Source organism: Homo sapiens, chromosome 6 (genome assembly GCF_000001405.40).
Source record: "Homo sapiens chromosome 6, GRCh38.p14 Primary Assembly".
NCBI lineage: Eukaryota > Metazoa > Chordata > Mammalia > Primates > Hominidae > Homo > Homo sapiens.
In genome coordinates, this window is record NC_000006.12 from 113903963 (window position 1) to 113922760 (window position 18798).

The following is an 18798-nucleotide window of genomic DNA, read 5'->3' on the forward strand; positions in this document are numbered from 1 at the left end:
GGCAGGACGTTCCAGGGATCTGGGGAGGCCCTGACATAACTGCACGTTCACACGGCTGCCCCTCCCTCCTCCTCCCTCTGTCTTCTCCAAAACAAATGACCTCGCTGGGATCCTGTTTGCCTTTTACTGACTTCCTGGACCAAAGCAGTGTGCCTGTGAGTGCAACAGCTGATCCCTTTCGGAGTGGAGTTTCCTAGCTGGTGCCTGTCCTCTCTTGAGCCTTTGTTTCTTGAGTGAGCACTCACTGGGGCTGTGGCTCCATGAACTGGATTTCAGGAAACCAGCCAAGGCATTCTCTCTCTCTCTCCATTCCTAGAAAGGCAGAAAGCCTGGGAATGGGTTCGGCAGGAAGATCTCTGTACCTCAATCTCCATTGCTTTCAGCACCACTGGCTTTCTCCCCAGCTCAAGTGCAAAACCTGCCATCGTTGCTACCTGGGGTGCCTCAGACTCACCCAAGTCCCCCAGGCCAGAGGACATGCTCTCAAGCCTTGTTTCAGAAAGAGGGACCCAAAGGCTGTTAGGGAAGAGAACCAGGGTCCTCAAACCCAGGGTTTTCTCACCCACTGCCTCTGCTCTGGCTGTGGCCTGCCAGACCTCTCCTCTGATTTTCGCTTTCCTTCCTGCCAGTGCCTTTGTTTATCCGAGGCGCCAAGATCCCACTGTGAAGTCTGAAAGGAAGACCAGTGGTTCTCGCTTTTCCTCTAGATGCTGTGTCTCCCAATGTCATCTTCTTTCCTCTCAAAGACAATTGGACGTTGTTACAGATTTTCTTGGAATGAGGTGAGTGGACGTTGTTTTTCCCTAGGAATGTTCTCCTGTGCTTCAGAGACATATTTAGAAGGGCATAAGAACAAGAGGAATTAGTGTGGGTCCCTGCCACTGGCACCCCTCCAAGCTTGGCTTTACCCCTTCATGTCAACACCATTTCCTCCCAGGCTTTTCACAGCTTTACAGCCCATCTCAAGTCTTTAACTGCTAAGTGAGCTTTAAAGAAAAGAAAAATCTTCAAAGGCTCCACCAAAGGAAAGAACGGGGCACCTCACATTCGGCCTAAGACAGGAGTGAAAAGACAGGAGATTTGACATTCGCATGGCTGTTCTCTATCCCACCCACTTACAACTTTATACTTATCCTCCCGAAGTCTCAATCCAGCTTCAATTTTATCTGAAAAGGGTCATTTGGGATACAAAAAGCTGCTCCTCCAATGCCACCAAACAACTGCTGGTGCCCTCTATTAACCATCTGAGAAAGCCTAAACATCTCTCCAGCACAAGTAGACCAGGAATTCCCAGCCCCCATCCCATATAAAATCCAAACGATGACAGTAATTGAATGACACAGTGTATTCAATAACCCCACCGTACCTTCCTTCTCACTTCCAGGGGTGATCACATTGACATCTCACCTCATCCGTGGGCTGCCCACAGCCTGGCTATGTCCAGGACTTCTGGTCTCTCTCTCTCTCTCTCTCTAAAAGATAGGGTCTCGTTATGTTGCCCAGGATAGATGTGAACTCCTGGGCTCAAGCGACCCTCTCCTCTCAGCCTCCCAAGGAGTTGTGACTACAGTCTCACACCACCATGCCCAGCTAAGCTCACTGCACATGTCAATGTCTTATCTCCCGGCCCTTCCCTTCTTCCGTTTGTCCTCCCCTCCCCTGTTCTCACTATTCACCTTTCCTTCAGTTGCCCACCTACTTCCATGTTCGGAGGCCAGTGCTCTTTGGATCTGACATGTTGTGTGTGGGTCCCAATGGTTCATAGAAGGCCAGAGGGTCAGACACTTCTGCTCAGTAAGGGGAAGGATGAGAGGATCCATCTTGATCCTTCCCATCAAGGGCTATGGCAACAATTTGTACAAAGAAACCCAAAATAAAGCAACTCCCAAGAGGAGGGAAAAAAGAAGGTAGCTCCAATTTGCTTCAATGTGGGAGAATGCGATGAACAAAGACCTACTAGTGGGAAGCTGAGAAACTCTGTGAGGGCTCCTGACTTGGAGCAGGATGGGTGGATTGCGGGGAGAGTGACCTTGCCCCTGGCCTAGTAGGGCACTATGAGCTGAGGAAAATGGCCATGAGGCTTTGTCTGGCCTAGGTTTCTCAGAATTATAATGGTTTTCATTCCTTACAAGGGAAGTCTAAAATTGGGAAAAGAGAAGCAAAGAGATGCTGTCTAAATCCTAAACGTTAGCAAGAGTTTTCTGGTCTAGAAACTGTGACTCAGATGTGGTAGAGATGAGATGGATATGTGGCCGTGGTTGCATCCACCGGAAGATGCAGCCACAGGACCAGGGACAGAAGGCCTCACATGGAGGGCCCAAGGACAGCAGGCCTCACGGAGGACCCAGGGACAGCAGGTCTCACGTGGAGGACCCAAGGACAGCAGGCCTCACGTGGAGGACCCAGGGACAGCAGGTCTCACATGGAGGACCCAGGGACAGCAGGCCTCATGTGGAGGGCCCAGGGACAGCAGGCCTCACGTGGAGGGGCTACGGACAGCAGGCCTCATGTGGAGGGCCCCAGCCCCTGTCTAGAAGGAGGCAGGTGGGGAATGACACCTGCATCATAAGAAGCTTCTGTCTTGTTAAAAGCAAAGACAGAAAGAAGGACAGGAAGACAATCACGTAGTCATTGTATATAAGGTTTTTTCAGTCTTCACCTGTTCCAGTTATACTTTGCAGCCTGAAAAGTCATTCCAAAACATAGTAGCTTACACTTTGGGAGGCCGAGGTGAGAGGCTTACTGGAGCCCAGGAGTTTGAGACCAGCTTGGGCAAAATAGCGAGAACCCCTCTCTACAAAAAAATTAAAAACTAAAAAAATTAGCCAACTGTGGTGGTGCATACATGTAGTCCTAGCAACCTGGGAGACTGAGGCCTGAGGATTAATTGAGTCCAGGAGTTTGAGGCTGCAGTGAGCTATGATTGCACCACTGCACTCAAACCTGGGTAACAGAGGGAGAGGAGACCCTGACTTTTAAAAACAAAATACAACAACAAAACCACCCCAAAACATAGCAGCTTAAAACAGCTACAGTCATGCTATCTCTCACAGCCTCTGTGGGTCAGGGTTTTGGGAAAGGGTTGGCTGTGCATCTCTCCATGTAGTCTCAAAACCTCTCCATGTGGTCTTTACATGGACTAATTTGGGCTTCTCACAACATGGCAGCCTCAGAAAAATCAGATTGCTCACATAGTAGCTGAAGGTTTCAAGAACAAATATTCCAGAAAGCATGGTAGAAACTGCATCCCCTGTTTTGACCTTATCTTAGAAGCTGCATAGCATGAATTCTGTTATACTCTACTGGATAAAACGTTCAGAAAAGCCTGCCCAGTTTCAAGGGGAGGAAACATAGCCCCATCTCTCGGTGAGAATAGTGTAAAAAGGTCTGCAGACATGTTAAATAGTAGTGACTGACCACCTTTTTTTCTCTTGAAACTAAGTTTGTATCACCCTGATCTTCTCCCATTCTTCTGATTGGTGTGTCTTCAGCTTATCCCTTCCGTTCCTCAGAGCAGGATGTTTTTCCCATTGAAAATGTTAGCATGCGAGGTAGCCATGCTTCAGAGATGGCCTCCTGAGGAACCACCCTTTCTAGCACCCATGCTCCTGTGCAGTCTCCTCCCACACTGGGTCTGGGCTGCACTTGGAGGAAGTGATGCTGTGGGATTTCCAAGGTTAAGGCATAGGAAACCTTGCCGCTTCTACCCGGGCCTTTTGAAAGGCCCTTATTCTAGGGAATAGGGCTCTTTCCCTCCTTATTCTAGGGAAAGTCAGCCACCATATAAGACATCTAACCTGAGACCACCATGCACTGAGGAAGCCCAAGCTAGCCACATGGAGGGAACATGTGGAGAAAGCAAGATATTTGGCCAAACTGTAGAGATTTTGGCCATCCCAGCCCAGGGGTCCAGACATGTAAGTGAAGAAACCGTGTTGGATGTTGAGCTTGGTTGAGCATTCACAGGACCCCAGTCCAACCACCATCCGACTGCAATCACACTTGAAACTCAAAGTGAGAACCACCTGAGTCTAGTCAACCCTTAGAAGCTTCAGAGATAATAATAAGCTTTCATCTGAAGCTCCTAAATTTTGCGGTGGCTTGTTATGCAGCCAGAACATCCAGTTCTATCAATTCCGCATCAGAATTTCTCCCAAATCTGGATCTCTTAAATTGGCCTTCAACATCATTTCCTTGCTGAAGCAAAGCTTCCTCTCTGGTTTCCAAGCAAGTAGGCATGCTTTAAGGAAGTTGGCCATAGAGGTGATATAAGACATGCTCATAAGCAACTATAAAATAAAGCAGTAAGGAGGTATGCCACAAGGTCTGTACAGAAAATAGCTACCATGAGAACTCAGAAAAGAGAGGGACAGAATTATTCCAGCCTGAAGCCAGTGGGCCTGAAAAGGAGGTAGCATTGAATTGGACCTTGAGGCCGGGCGCGGTGGCTCACGCCTGTAATCCCAGCACTTTGGGAGGCCAAGACGGGTGGATCATGAGGTCAGGAGATCGAGACCATCCTGGCTAACGCAGTGAAACCCTGTCTCTACTAAAAATACAAAAAAAAAAAAAAAAGAAAGAAAAATAATTAGCTGGGTGTAGTGGTGGGCGCCTGTAGTCCCAGCTACTCGGGAGGCTGAGGGAGGAGAATGGCGTGAACCCGGGAGGCAGAGTTTGCAGTGAGCCGACATCGCACCACTGCACTCCAGCCTGGGCGACAGAGCGAGACTCTGTCTCAAAAAATAAAATAAAATAAAATAAAATAAAATAAAATAAAATAAATGAATTGGACCTTAAATGCCAAGTAGAAGTTTGTGGGCTTGTTTTTTTGTTTTGTAGAAGTAGGGAGCTACTAAGAAGTTTTGAGCAGAAAAGAATGTGATCAAAAATATGTTTCATGAAAATATTGTTCTGAAAATAATGGACGTAAAAGGCAATTGCATTTGGGAGACACTAGACGGGGTGGTCAGGAAGGATGGGGAGACCAGTGAAGAAACTATCATGACAGGCCAGGGGAGAAGCAATGAGCCCGTGAATAAGGCTGGCCATGGGACTGAGGTTAAAGGGAGGAGGCATAAGAGACATTCCAGAGGTAGATAAGAGTGTGAAATACACATAAGGACAAAATTATAACCCAAATTCTCCTATTCCCTGAATAAGTGAAAACAAATAATTCCACAGATTTTACTTTTGGGAGAAATGTGGCTTTTCAAAGAAAATACCTTTTCAAAGAAATACTTTAGGGGGAGAAGAGTAAATTAAATCCCTAACTTTAAATAAGTATGATCAGAGATTATTTTTTTGAACATTTATAGCCCGTTCTGAAATAGTCACATTGACTTACAATTTTTGTTATTTACCCATCCCTGTGGTATGTTAGCGTGTAAGAAGCCTCCAAAAACAATTGAGGGCAAATCATGACTGATCTTTAAAACCTGCGGTGGTCCTTGAAACACGATGGATGCTCCAAACAGTTTTTAAAGTATGAGCTCCCTCTAGTGGCCAAAAATCATCTTTACTGCTTTATCAAATCTGCCACACATTTATATTTATTTTAATGAGTAGTTTATCTTCCGCTACAACTGAACTTACACTTTCAATTTTTTTCTTGCTTGTTACCAAATAGGCTCCATAATATTCATGATGAATCTCAACATCTAGGATCTAGTATTATTGTTATAATTAGTAATTATCAGTTTTCAATAATGTTTATTGAGTTTCTGACTGTACCAAAATGCAATTATCACCTGATTAATGTATCAGCTAATTTACTATAAATGTTCAAAGGAAGTAATATTATTATTCATCACTATAAAAAGTACTCATTGGTCCATGATCCTTGGCTCATGCCAATAATCCCAACACTTTGGAAGACCAACACGGGAACATCACTTAAGGCCAGGAGTTCAAGATCAGCCTGGGCAACATACTGAGACCCCCATCTCTACAAAAAAAAGAAAAAGAAAAAAAATAGCTGAGCATGTTAGTGCACCTGTAGCCCTGACTACTTGGAAGGCTGAGGAGAGAGGATCACTTGAGCCAAGTATTTTGAGGTTACAGTCAGCTATGATAATGCCACTGCACTCCAGCCTGGGCAACAGAGTGAGACTCTGTCTCTAAATAAATAAACACTTTAAAAAGTCCTCGTTGATAAATGCATATTCTCTCGAAATTAGTTCAAGTTGAAACAACTCCAAAGATGCACATTTCCCATCCAGATCCCATCATTTCTTAAAGAAAGGGGTCACCCTCATCAGACATTTTTCCTATTGTCTTGGGCATTCACATCCTCTCTTACTCCTCACTACTTATGCAAGTTTCTGCAGCCAGCTTGAATTTCTCCTCAGAAAATGGGTTTTTCTTTTCTATCACATTGTCAGGCTGCAAATTTTCCAAACTTTTATGCTCTGCTTCCCTTGTAAAACTGAATGCCTTCAATAGCATCCAAGTCACCTCTTGAATGCTCTGCTGTTTAGAAATTTCTTCTGCCAGATGCCCTTTGAACCATCTCTCTCAAGTTCAAAGTTTCACAAATCTCTAGGGCAGCAGCAAAATGCTGCCAGTCTCTTTGCTAAAACATAACAAGAGTCACCTTTGCTCCAGTTCCCAACAAGTTCCTGATCTCCATCTGAGATCATCTCAGCCTAGACCCTATTGTCCATATCGCCATCAGGCTTTTGGTCAAAGCCATTCAACAAGTCTCCAGGAAGTTCCAAACTTTCCCACATTTTCCTGTCTTCTTCTAAGCCCTCCAAACTGTTCCAACCTCTGCCTGTTACCCACTTCCAAAGTCGCTTTCACATTTTCGGGTATTTTTTCAGCAACGCCCCACTCTACTGGTACCAATTTACTGTATTAATCTGTTTTCACACTGCTGATAAAGACATACCTGAGACTTGGAAGAAAAACAGGTTTAATTGGACTTACAGTTCCACATGGCTGGGAAGGCCTCAGAATCAAGGCAGGAGGCTAAAGACACTTCTTACATGGCAGCAGCCAGAGAAAATGAAGATGCAAAAGTGGAAACCCTTGATAAAACCATCAAATCTCATGAGACTTATTCACTACCATAAGAACAGCATGCGGGAAACCTCCCCCATGATTCAAATTATCTCCCACTAGGTCCCTCCCACAACACGTGGAAATTATAGGCGTACAATTCAAGATGAGATTTGGTTGGGGACACAGCCAAACCATATCACTAATTTAGGACAGATACACTGTTGCTATTGTAAGAATCAAACAAGAGCTATAACTTGCACAGCTTCTGTCACATGGTAGATGTTCAATAAATACTTACTGTACTTGATTTGAATCTTGTTTCATAAGCCCTTATTCACATTTTTTTAAAGTTGTAGAAAATAATTTGGCCACCTTTCTTTCCATCTTTCTAGTTGGCATTTCATGGGTGGTTCCACTGAATAACAATCAACTTTGATATGGTTTGAATATGTGTCCCCTCCAAATCTCATGTTGAAATGTAATCCCCAGTGTTAGAGGTGGGTCTGGTGAAAGATGATTTTGGGTCATGAGGGCAGATTTCTTATGAAGGATTTAGCATAATCCCTTTGGTGCTGTCCTCATGATAGTGAGTGAGTTTTCATGAGATATGGTCATTTAAAAGTGTATGGCACCGGCCGGGTGCGGTGGCTCACGCCTGTAATCCCAGCACTTTGGGAGGCCGAGGAGGGCGAATCACGAGGTCAGGAGATGGAGACCACCCTGGCTAACACGGTGAAACCCCGTTTCTACTAAAAATACAAAAAATTAGCCGTTCGTGCGGGCGCCTGTAGTCCCAGCTCTTCGGGAGGCTGAGGCAGGAGAATGGTGTGAACCCGGGAGGCAGAGCTTGCAGTGAGCTGAGATCTCGCCACTGCACTCCAGCCTGGGTGACAGAGCAAGCCTCCGTCTCAAAAAAAAAAAAAAAAAAAAAAAAAAAAGTGTATGGCACCTACCCCCTCACTCTCTCTCTAGCCCATGCTCCTGCCATGTAAGACAACGGCTCCCCTTCACCTTCCACCATGATTGGAAGCTTCCTGAGGCCTCCCCAGAAGCAGGTGCTGGTGCTATGCTTCCTGTACAGCCTGCAGAACCATGAGCCAATTAAAACTCTTTTCTTATAAATTACCCAGTCTCAGGTATTTCTTTATAGCAATGCAAGAATGGTCTAATATAACTTCATATCCTATGACATTGATCATTAGTTTTCCATCTTGCTGAGTAGAATTGTTCTTACTTGGGGTTTCTAAAGTGAATCTCAGCTTAAATGAACACATGCTAGACTTTAATTATAGCTTCACTTATTTGAATTTTGAAGACAAGCATTTAATGATATATGTTGATCAATATTGATAAACATACTGGATAATGTAAGGGTAAGAGGAGAGAATCAAATTCTCTAATAAGAGTTTAGTTTAACCTATCCTAAAGGTTACAAAAAAAATCTTAGAACATCAAAATTCTATCCAAAAAAACATTTGTGAGCAACCTTCTATTTCCCAGGCACTCCCAGAAGCACAGGGGACAAAGAAATAAGTAATATACAGTTCTTACTCTAAATGAGAAATTTTTTTTCATTCAAACAGTGACAGTTATTTTTGATAAGATAAACTCACACAATGAAACCACAATCTTCTCTAGTCTCATAAAATTAATTAGCTAAAAAAATACAAAAGCCTTTCTATAACAATTCTTTCAAATTTAATTACCAGATTAAGAATATTCCTTTGGATATTCTAGTTCCATGATTGCTAACATTATTAATAAAAGTTAACATAATTTAATTTATATAATATTCTGACTCATTGGTTCTAATTTAAGACATCTGAAAACTCATTAATAAGAAAACCAATTTGTAACTGTTTTTATACAAACTGCCTCAATCATTTCAATACATTGTTATCCCGTATGAGGGAGATAAATAAAAATCTATTTTTACTGAATAGAAACGTATTTAAAATAATATCGCTGTCACTCTCTCCTTATAAATCATAAAAGAAAAGGTAAGATGTGACCTTTTCATTGTTTAGCCAATAAGATAGGTATTTAACGGTGTGGTTTGTAATTTGTAATTTGGCTACTAAAAGATTTTTATATCTTTTATGTATTTATTAGCCATTTGATTTCTTCTTTTGTACCGTACATATTAGGTCTTCTGGCCATTTTGCTTATTGATTTATACTACTATTTATATATTTTGAAGACCAGGGCTTTTTTGGATATATGTGCTATAAATACTTTCTCTGTTCTGTTTGTTTTTGTTTTTGTTTTTAGTTTTTAAAGAAACAGACATTTTAAATTTACCATCTAAAAAAGTATGTAGCCTTTTGCTTTTGAAAGCTAGTTTTACTGGGTGTAGAATTTTGGCTTGATAGTCTTTTTCTTTCAATATTTTAAAGATGCTGCCTCACTGTCTCTTGGTTTCCATTGCTTCTAATGAGGTATCTGGTGTCATTTTTATATAATATTTCTTTCTCTGTACATGATGTATATTCTTTCTAGCTGCTCTTAAGATTTTTATCTTTCTCACTGGTTTCAAGCAATTTGATCTTTATATTTCTTGTAACATTTTCTTCAGGTTTCTTGTGCTAGAGATTCTTTGAGCTTCCTGAATCTGTAGGCCCACAGTTTTCATCAACTTTTAAATTTTTTCTGTTGTTATTATATTTTGTTCATTATTTTTTCTACACTCACTCTCCTCCTTCAGGAGCTATTATTACAGGTTTATTAGGTGTATTAGTCCATTTTCACACTGCTATAAAGAACTGCCTGAGACTGGATAATTTGTAAAGAAAAGGTTCTTTTCACTGTTCTGCATGGATGCGGAGGCCTCAGGAAACTTACAATTATGGCAGAAGGCGAAGGGGAAGCAAAGACGTTTTTCACATGGTGACAGGAAAAAGGAGCTTGTGAGAGCTCAGGAATAACTACCATTTATAAAACCATCAGATCTCATGAGAATTCACTCAGTATCACAAGAACAGCATGGGGAAAACCACCCCCATGATCCAATCACCTCCCACTAGGTCTCTCCCTTGACACATGGGGATTACAATTCAAGATTAGATTTGGTTGGGGACACAAAGCCAAACCACAGTATTAGGCTACTTAATGCTATCCCACAGTTCAATAATGCTCTCTTTATTTTTTTTCAATCTTTCTCTCTTTGTCACATTTTGAATAGTTTTGATTGCTGTGTCTTCAAGTTCACTAATCTTTTCTTCTGCAGTATTTAATCTGATTTTAGTCCTATCCATTATTATTTTATCTTAGACATTGTATTTTTCATCTGTTGAAGTTTGTTTGGATCTTTTTTATGTCTTTAGTGTCATCATATAACGTGTTCAATCTTTTCTCTACTTTTTTTTCACTTATTGAATTGAAAAATCCATTTTCTATCTTCTTAAACATGTGGAATATAGTTACGATAACTATTTTAATGTGCCTATTTACACATCTAATTTACCACTCGTATAATTTATGAATTCTGTCTCTACTGACTGGATTTTTTTCTCCTTATTTTGGATGCAAAATAAGAATAAAATTGTCTATTTTTTCATTGTTTTATTTGCCAGACATTGTGAATTTTATCTTGTTAGAGGCTAGATTTTTCTATATCTATAAAAAATCTTAAGCTTTTTTCCAAAAGCCAGTTAATTTATAGAAACAGCTTGACCTTCTCTAGACCTCCTTTTAAGTTTTGTTATATGAGATCAAAGCAGCCATTAGTCTAGAGCTGATTTTTTCCAACTATAGGCAATGCCCTGCTGAGAACTCTACCTGTTGCTACATTAATTATGTGGTTTTGTAATCTGACTGATAAAAACACAAACTACTTCCAGCCCTACTTGAGATCCAAGTACTGTTCCCTCTGATACTTTTGGATGGTTCTTTCTCCAACCTCAGCCATTAGGTTACATGTCTATGCTGATCAGTATATAGTCGAAGACTTAGCTACAGATATCTGAAACTCTGTCTGTATAGCTCTATCCTCTCCAGTACTCTGTTCTATGAAGTCAAGCCATTTTGATCTTCTCAGACTCCCAGCTCCATCTCCTCAGCTCAGAAAGACCACTGGGTTCCATCTGGATTCCTCCTTCCACGTACTGTGGCCTGCAAACTCTCTCCAGAAAGTAAGCTGGAGCAATCATAGGTGTATTCATTTTCTGGGGTGGCCATAACATGATACCCACAGATTGGGTACTAAAACCACAGCTTTAATAACAGAAATGTATTTTCTCACAGTTCTGAAGGCTAGATGCCCAAGATTAAGATGTAAGGTTTTGTTTCCACTAAGGTCTCCTTTCTCGGCTTGCAGATGGCCACCTTCTTACTGTGTCCTCACATGATCATTTATCTGTATGTGGGTGTGCACCCCTGGAATCTCCTTATTTGTCCAAATTTCTCTTCTTATAAGGACATTAGTCAGGCTGGACTAGGGCCCAGCCTAGTGGCCTCATTTTAACTTAATCATCTTTTTAAAGGCCCTATCTCCAAATACCATCACATTCTGAGGTACTGGGGGTTAAGGCTTCAACATACTAATTATAGAGGAATACAATTCAGTCCACAATAGTAGTGCTGCCCTCATTCTGTTTTTGCTATCTCCCATGGATCACTCTTCGGCACAGCCCAATGTCTGATAACTATTGTTTCATATGTTTGCCTAGTTTTTAGTTGGTCTGGGGGAGAGGGTAAATCTGGCACTATATTATACCATCTTGGTTGGAAGCAGAAGACTGAAACAATTAATTTTGAACTACTAAAATTAGTTAACCCTTTTCTTGCTTACCCTAAGATATGAAGATATTCTTTTATGCTTTTTTTCAAAGATTTATAGTTTTGCCTTTCTTGCTTAAGTTTTCCATTCATGTGGAATTGATTTTTGAGCATAGAGTAAGATTGAGGTCCAATTACATTTTTTTCCCATAAGGATATATAATTGTTTCAGCAACATTTGATGAAAAGTCCATCTGCCTTTCCCTTTGCTATGAAGTATATTCTTATAATAAGTCAAGTGTTCATAAATGTGACAGTTTATTTTTGAGTCTCCTTTTCTGTTCTCTTGGTCTAATATTTTATTCCTTACCAGTTGTGTATGGTCTTAATTACAGAAAGTAAAAAGGTTGATAATACCAATTATTGAAGAGTTGCAAATGAAAAGAAATATACAATGTTACTGAGAATAGAATTCAGTACAACTACTGTATTAGTGTACTAGGGCTGCTATAACAAATTATCATAAACCAAGTGGCTTAAAACAATAGAAAGTTATTGTCTTACAGTTCTGGAGGCTAAAAGCCTACCATCAAAGTATTGGTAAGACCATACTCCCTCCAAGGTCTCTAAGGACAAATTCTTCCTTGTTTCTTCTAGCTTTTGTGGTTGGTGGCAATGTAGCTAGCTGCATCATTTCAATCTCTGCCTCTGTCTCTACATGGCCATATTCCCCTCTGGGTGTGTCTTCTCTGTTCCAAATCATTTTCTCCTTATGAGGACAGTAGTCAATGGATTTAGGACACTCCCTAATCCAATATGACTTCTTCATAGCTTGATTATATCTGTTATATCATACACTCATATCATCAACACCACAATCAAGATGTAGGACATTTTCATCATCTCAAAAACTTTCCTGATGCCCCTTTGCAATCAACTCCATCTAAATTCTGGCCAAAGACAACCACTGATTTTCTTTTTATTGCTATAGTTTTGTCCTTTCTGGAATTTTATATAGGCAAAATCAATTACAGTAGGGAGTCTTTTTATGTGGTTTCTTTCAATTAGCATAACGTTTCTCAGGATCATCCAAGTTGTTGTCTATATCAGCTGTGTATTCATTTTATAAAAATTTATTACAATATATTGAATTTCCAGTCAATGGACATTTGCATTGCTTCTCTTTTGCTTCTGTGAACAGTGTTGCTATGAACATTTGCATACAAGTCTTTGTATAAACTTATGTTTTCATTTTTCTTCAGTAAATACCTAGCAGTGGGATTGCTGGATCATATGAAAATGCCAGACTATATTTCATCAGCAACATCGGAGAGTTCCAGTTGCTCTACACCCTCACTAGCACTTAATATTGGTCAGTCTTTTTAATTTTAGCCATACTTAGGGGTGTGTAGTGGTGTATTGTTTGGTCTTAATTTGCATTTCTCTACTAATTGTGTTGAGCTTCTTTTCACAGTGTCTATTAACTATTACTGTATCTTCTTTGGTGAAATACCTGTTTAAGTGTTTTGCCTTCTTTTTAATTGTGTTGTTTGTCTTAGTAAGTTATAAGGATTTATTATATATCTGGTTATATATATAAGGTTATATATCTGGTTATATATAAGGATTTATTATTTATATATTTATATTTATTATATATATATTTATTTATTTTATATATTAATATATAATATATTTATTTATATTGACATATATTTATATTAATATTTATATTTATATATAAATATTTATATTGATATGTTTATATTAATATTTATATTGATATATTATATTAATATGAATATATTAATATGTTATATATTGTATATTATATATTTATTATTTATATATTTATATACTTATAAATATATAATATTATATATAAATATATAAATATTTATATATTTATATTATATACCTGGTTATATATATAAGGATTTATTATATATCTGGTTACAAGTCCTTTGTCAGATGTTTTGCAAACATTTTCTACAACTCTATGGCTTACCTTTTTGTTTCTTAACTGTGCTTTTCTAAGAATTTTTTAAAATTTTGAAATGACATCCATCTTCCTTGTTATTTTTGCAAGCTCCTTAAGGTTGGAAATTGTGACTGACATGTTTAAAGTATGTAGCATATAATAGGCACCTGGTAACAATAATTAGTAACTTTCTGAGACCAATTATGTGGTAGTCACTGTGATTAGTGCTTCAAATTTTTGTTTGCATTCTATCCTCACATACCTGTAAGTAGATATTCTTATCCTCATTTTGCTGTTGAGTAAATGAAGCCACAGGCTTCGTAGCTTGATGGCTTATTGCTTATTGCTTATTGATTTATACTAGTATTTATATATTTTGAAGACCAGGGCTTTTTTGGATATATGTGCTATAAATACTTTGTAAGGCACAACTGGTAAGGGATAGGGCCAGACTCCAAACCTGGGTCTACTTGACTTTAAAGTCCATGCTCTTAGCCACATGATGATGCCACTTTTGTTGACTAACAAGTGAATGAATGAATGAATTCTACCTTATTTGTTCTTAAAGATTATGTGCTTATGTGCTTATGTATTTTTATTTACTTTTCTACACATTAAAACTCTCTGCAACAATACAAGCAACTGAAAAACATGGTTAGCCATGGTGGTAAGGAAGAGTTGGGAAAGCAAAATAGGAAGGAAAGTTTATATATTTCTTTTTTTAAAATTTTTAGACAATGTGAATGTATTATGTACTACATTCAAAGTATTCAGTAAAAACAATAAAGTCCTATATTAAAATAATGGCTTGTATTACAAATCAATAGAAAAACAATTTGCATATTTAATTGAGGAAGCAATTGTTAACAGTTCTTAGGCTGGGCACAGCGGCTTATGCCTATAATCCCAACACTTTGAGAAGCCGAGATGGCTAGATCTTTTGAGCTCAGGAGTTCAAGGCTAGCCTGGGCAAGATGGTGAAATCCATCTTGACAAAAAATACAAACATTAGCCGGGTGTGGTGGCACATGCCTGTAGTCCCAGCTACTTGGGAGGCTGAGGTGGGAGGATCACTTGAGTGCAGGAGGTTGAGGCTGCAGTAAGCCAAGATTGCGCCACTGCACTCCAGCCTGGTCAACAGAACTCAAAAAAAAAAGCAAAATAAAAGCAACTCTCAGAATAAGAGAAAGGTTGATTTCTGTAGAGAATTTCCTTTAGGGAATTTTAAGATTCCAAGGCCCAACACGTGGCTTTAGACACGTGCACAGATCCAGGCCAGGAGCAGTGGCTGTGACTTTAGAATTCACATCTTCATTCAGTGAATTGTGTAGTAGCTCTGGTGTCTGGCAGCCAAGCCCATCTTACTGTGCACTCTTGGCCCTTAGCAGGTGAGGCATTGGTTACTGTTGAAAACATGGGATTATTGACATAGTTTCTACTTGTAGTTGATCGCTGCCTGGATTCACAGAAGGACAAATTACAATGCATTTTGAAAGACTCGTCTACAGTCAACTAAAATACCAGTTATCACAGACTTCACTGGCCTTAATGAGGAGGCTGAGAGGGATTTAATTACTGGGACATGCAACGCTTACACCAAACTCTGTTCGATTCACGACTTGGAAAAGCAAATGTGGATACAGATGAGTGTGGACATGGCTTCAGTAGGAAATGTCGAGTTTGTTCATCACTCTGAAGTTTCTTCAGCTGCAACGGAAACTGCACCCTCCCTCCCGACTTGTTGGTTATCTTGCTGTGCTCCCAAGAAGGTATTTTCTGCTGACCTGATAGATCAGGTAAGAGAATAGCAATGTGTCTTTTGTCATCTGCCTCCAGTTCCCTGGCTGCCTGCATTGCTGTGTTTGTTATCTGTGGATTGAAGGTGACACCACTCTCAAGGAGGGTGAAGGCAGAGGTGTATGCACAGCTAGTACCAGTAACACCCCTAGAGTGAGCCAAGAGAAGATGAGGTAAGGAGGAAAGGGAGACTTAGTCATGGGCCTAGGAAAAAGCGTGGGGGGTTACCTATGTAGAAGGTATGGATGGTGAAGCTGGATCTCTTTTTACCTGTGGTGAGCACACCATACCGGACAACCCAGGGCCTACATTATAGAGGGTGCACTCTGCACATGCAATGCATTTTGTCAACAGAAAGCTCTGTGTAAAAGTCTTAAAGCAACTCTTTAGAAATCCTGTTTCATTATTAATTTAGAAGGATTCAAATAGGAAATGTGGCAACAGCTGTAATGGGTATTAAAAGCCCCCACTGGCAGTGCTGGGTCTTAGCTGCCTCCAGTGGTGATCCTCTTCAAATAAGGAATCTTGAGCCAAAAATCCACCCTTCCTGTTAAATAAGTGTTCATACTCATTATTTTATTATAAAAGTCATAATAGCTTGACAGTACGGCAAAGGACAGTGAAAGATAAATGCACATAAGTAGTATAATGCAGTAATTAAGAGCCTGGTAAAAATCTCAACTCTGTCACTTAATAACCTAAATCACTTAATAGCTTTGTGCCTCAATCTAAAATACTGATAATAATAACAGTAATAATGTTTGCCTTCGTGATGTTGTTGTGGAGAAGAAACAAGTTAATATAGATAAAGTACTTAACATAGTATCAGGCCAACATAGGATCATAGCAAGAGGAAGCATTCAATAATTAGTTGTGGTTGGGTTATCATTATTGTTGTTGCTATTGTTGTTATTATGACACTAACATCTACAACTTTCTGTATTTCATCTGTCAACAAATATTTCAATATCAAATCTGATCCTGCTCCTTGACTCAGACCTTTGTCATTTTGATTGAAAAGATGTTTACCTGTTGGTCCCCAGCCTCACTCTTCTGAACCTCAGATCCACTGAGTGTGTATCCAGAGGTAAGTATGTGGTAAGTATGCTTGTCATTTACATTATCTGTCAGCATGAGTATTGGTTTCCTAGAAACCTAATATTGAAAACACTTAGCATTGCTAAAAGCATTAAATGAAATAAAGACTCAATATAGCTGCACTAATCTGTGCTTTCTAAATTTACTGATGGACGTGAAGAAAGTAGGTTGGCATGGAGTTTATACAATTTATGGATCACACTGATCTGAATTCAGACAGTGTGTGCTCAGATAAAAATATTGTTTCCTCCCATGAGGTTTCCAATTTTGCAGAGAAGAATACCTCTGTTTAGCTCATTACTTAACACAATGGGTAGCTGGGTGGCCTTGCATTCTGGAAGTGAAATGACACAAGAATGTCTCCACTGCATTCTCCAGAGGTAAAGATTCTCTGGCACAAAATCACAACCAAGGTGGGGTTCCAAAACTATAGAACAAATGGCAGCAGCCATGCAGCCAGCCTTGGTTCGGGTGGGCTGTAAAAGCAGAGGTTGTCCTCGTGTTATCAGCACTGACTTCCTGTTGTGGCCACACTGACAGAGATGAGATGGCAGAAAGCAGGAAAGAGACCAGAGCTGCAATTGACAGATGGCTGGCCAAAGTTGAAGGGTCAGAGACTACACCAAAGACTTCTCAGAAAATACTTGCCTAGGAGGCTCTCACTTGGAAAGATATTCAGGGTTGTTAAACATATCCTGTTATTAGGAAAACGAGAGTTTTATCTTTCTCTTACTCAGAAAGAAAAAACAAAAAGAAAATTAGTGCTCTTAAGAAAAGCTATTTTAATGTTATCCATTATAAAATTAGAAAACCTTGAAAGGCAAATGTTTCTTCTGACCATTTACACTGAGCTTCTTTCATTATCTCATATGCAACCTTGTGGATTGAAGGTGGAGAGTCCTTAGGATTACCCAGGAACATCCCTGTCTGCTCCCCCTGCTAGGCAGGAGGAGATTTGAAACCACATGTGTCTACTTCATTTCTGTCACGGGTAGGACAGTGTCATATACTTTGTAGGTAACTCAAAGATATTATAGGTAACTCATAGATATTGATTGAATTAATGTTTAATAAAATGAGAACACCAGCTCTGCTGTTATCATCATCCTCATTTCGATTCGCTGAACTCTGCACCAAGGCCAAATACATTATACTTTAGGCTTTGTTAAAGCCATCTATGTAAAGCTGGCTGAAGTCGAACTGTACAGTAAACAAGAGATGGTAATAGTCTCTGCATGTGTTATTTCTTTCAACTCCAAACCTCAAAGCATTTTAGGAAGAAATACTATTTCATCTTTAAAAAAAAATAGAAAAAAGAAACTTCTGAAAAATTAATGCAATCTAAATAATAGTCATTAAAAAGTAAATTATGGTAAAATGGCATACTATGCAGTCATTAAAGAGACGATGTTGCTCTATACTTATTTACATAGAACATTATCCTTGGGAAAAAAACTTATTTAAAAAATAGAAACAGTTTAAAATATGTTTAATATAATGCCTTTCGTAAAAAAAAATGTATGGGTATATGTGTAAAAATGTGTATGGGTGTGTGTGTGTTTGTAAATAGGAAATAATTGGAAGATATTCAACACAAGTTTCCATGGATGAGATGGGAGGCAGATGATAAGTGATATTTGTTTCTATATTGTATGTATTACTACATTTTCTGTTTTTATAGTAATGAAAAAGTATTAGTTTACATTCTGAAATAAATGTAACTAGCTTAAAATAATATGTAGCAGCAATCTTAAAAAATTTTTATTTACTAAAAATCTCATCATCCAATAATTATTTAAATACCTTTTCATACTATCTGTATAAGTTAGCTAATGTTTTATAACAAAGCCTTGAAGTAGTAATTTATTATTATGGCCCATGAATCTGTGGGACACCTGAGGACTAAGTATTGACTGACTTAGGTTGAGCTTCACTGACATTATAGACTGAATTATGGCCTTCAAAATTCATATGTTGAAATCCAAATCCCCAGTACCTCAGAATGTGATTGTATTCAGAGATGGGGTCTTTAAAGAGGTAATTAAGGTAAAGTGAGGTCATAAGGGTGGGTTCTAATCCAATAAGATTGGTATCCTTATAAAAAGAGGAGATTTGGACACAAACCTGAGCATAGAGAAAACACCATGTGAACATAAAGACAGCCATCTACAAGGCACAGAGAGAGGCCTCAGAAGAAATCAGAC

At 39.3% G+C, this 18798-nt stretch overlaps 1 long non-coding RNA gene across 1 annotated transcript; it reads left to right on the forward strand.

Moving 5' to 3' along the window:
* The first annotated feature begins 424 nt into the window (after positions 1 to 424).
* LINC02880 (long intergenic non-protein coding RNA 2880) lies at positions 425 to 17680 on the forward strand. The gene is made up of 4 exons (NR_027060.1): positions 425 to 782; positions 12981 to 13090; positions 15145 to 15495; positions 16494 to 17680. It is a non-coding gene; the product is annotated as a long intergenic non-protein coding RNA 2880 (long non-coding RNA).
* Positions 17681 to 18798: the final 1118 nt, after the last annotated feature.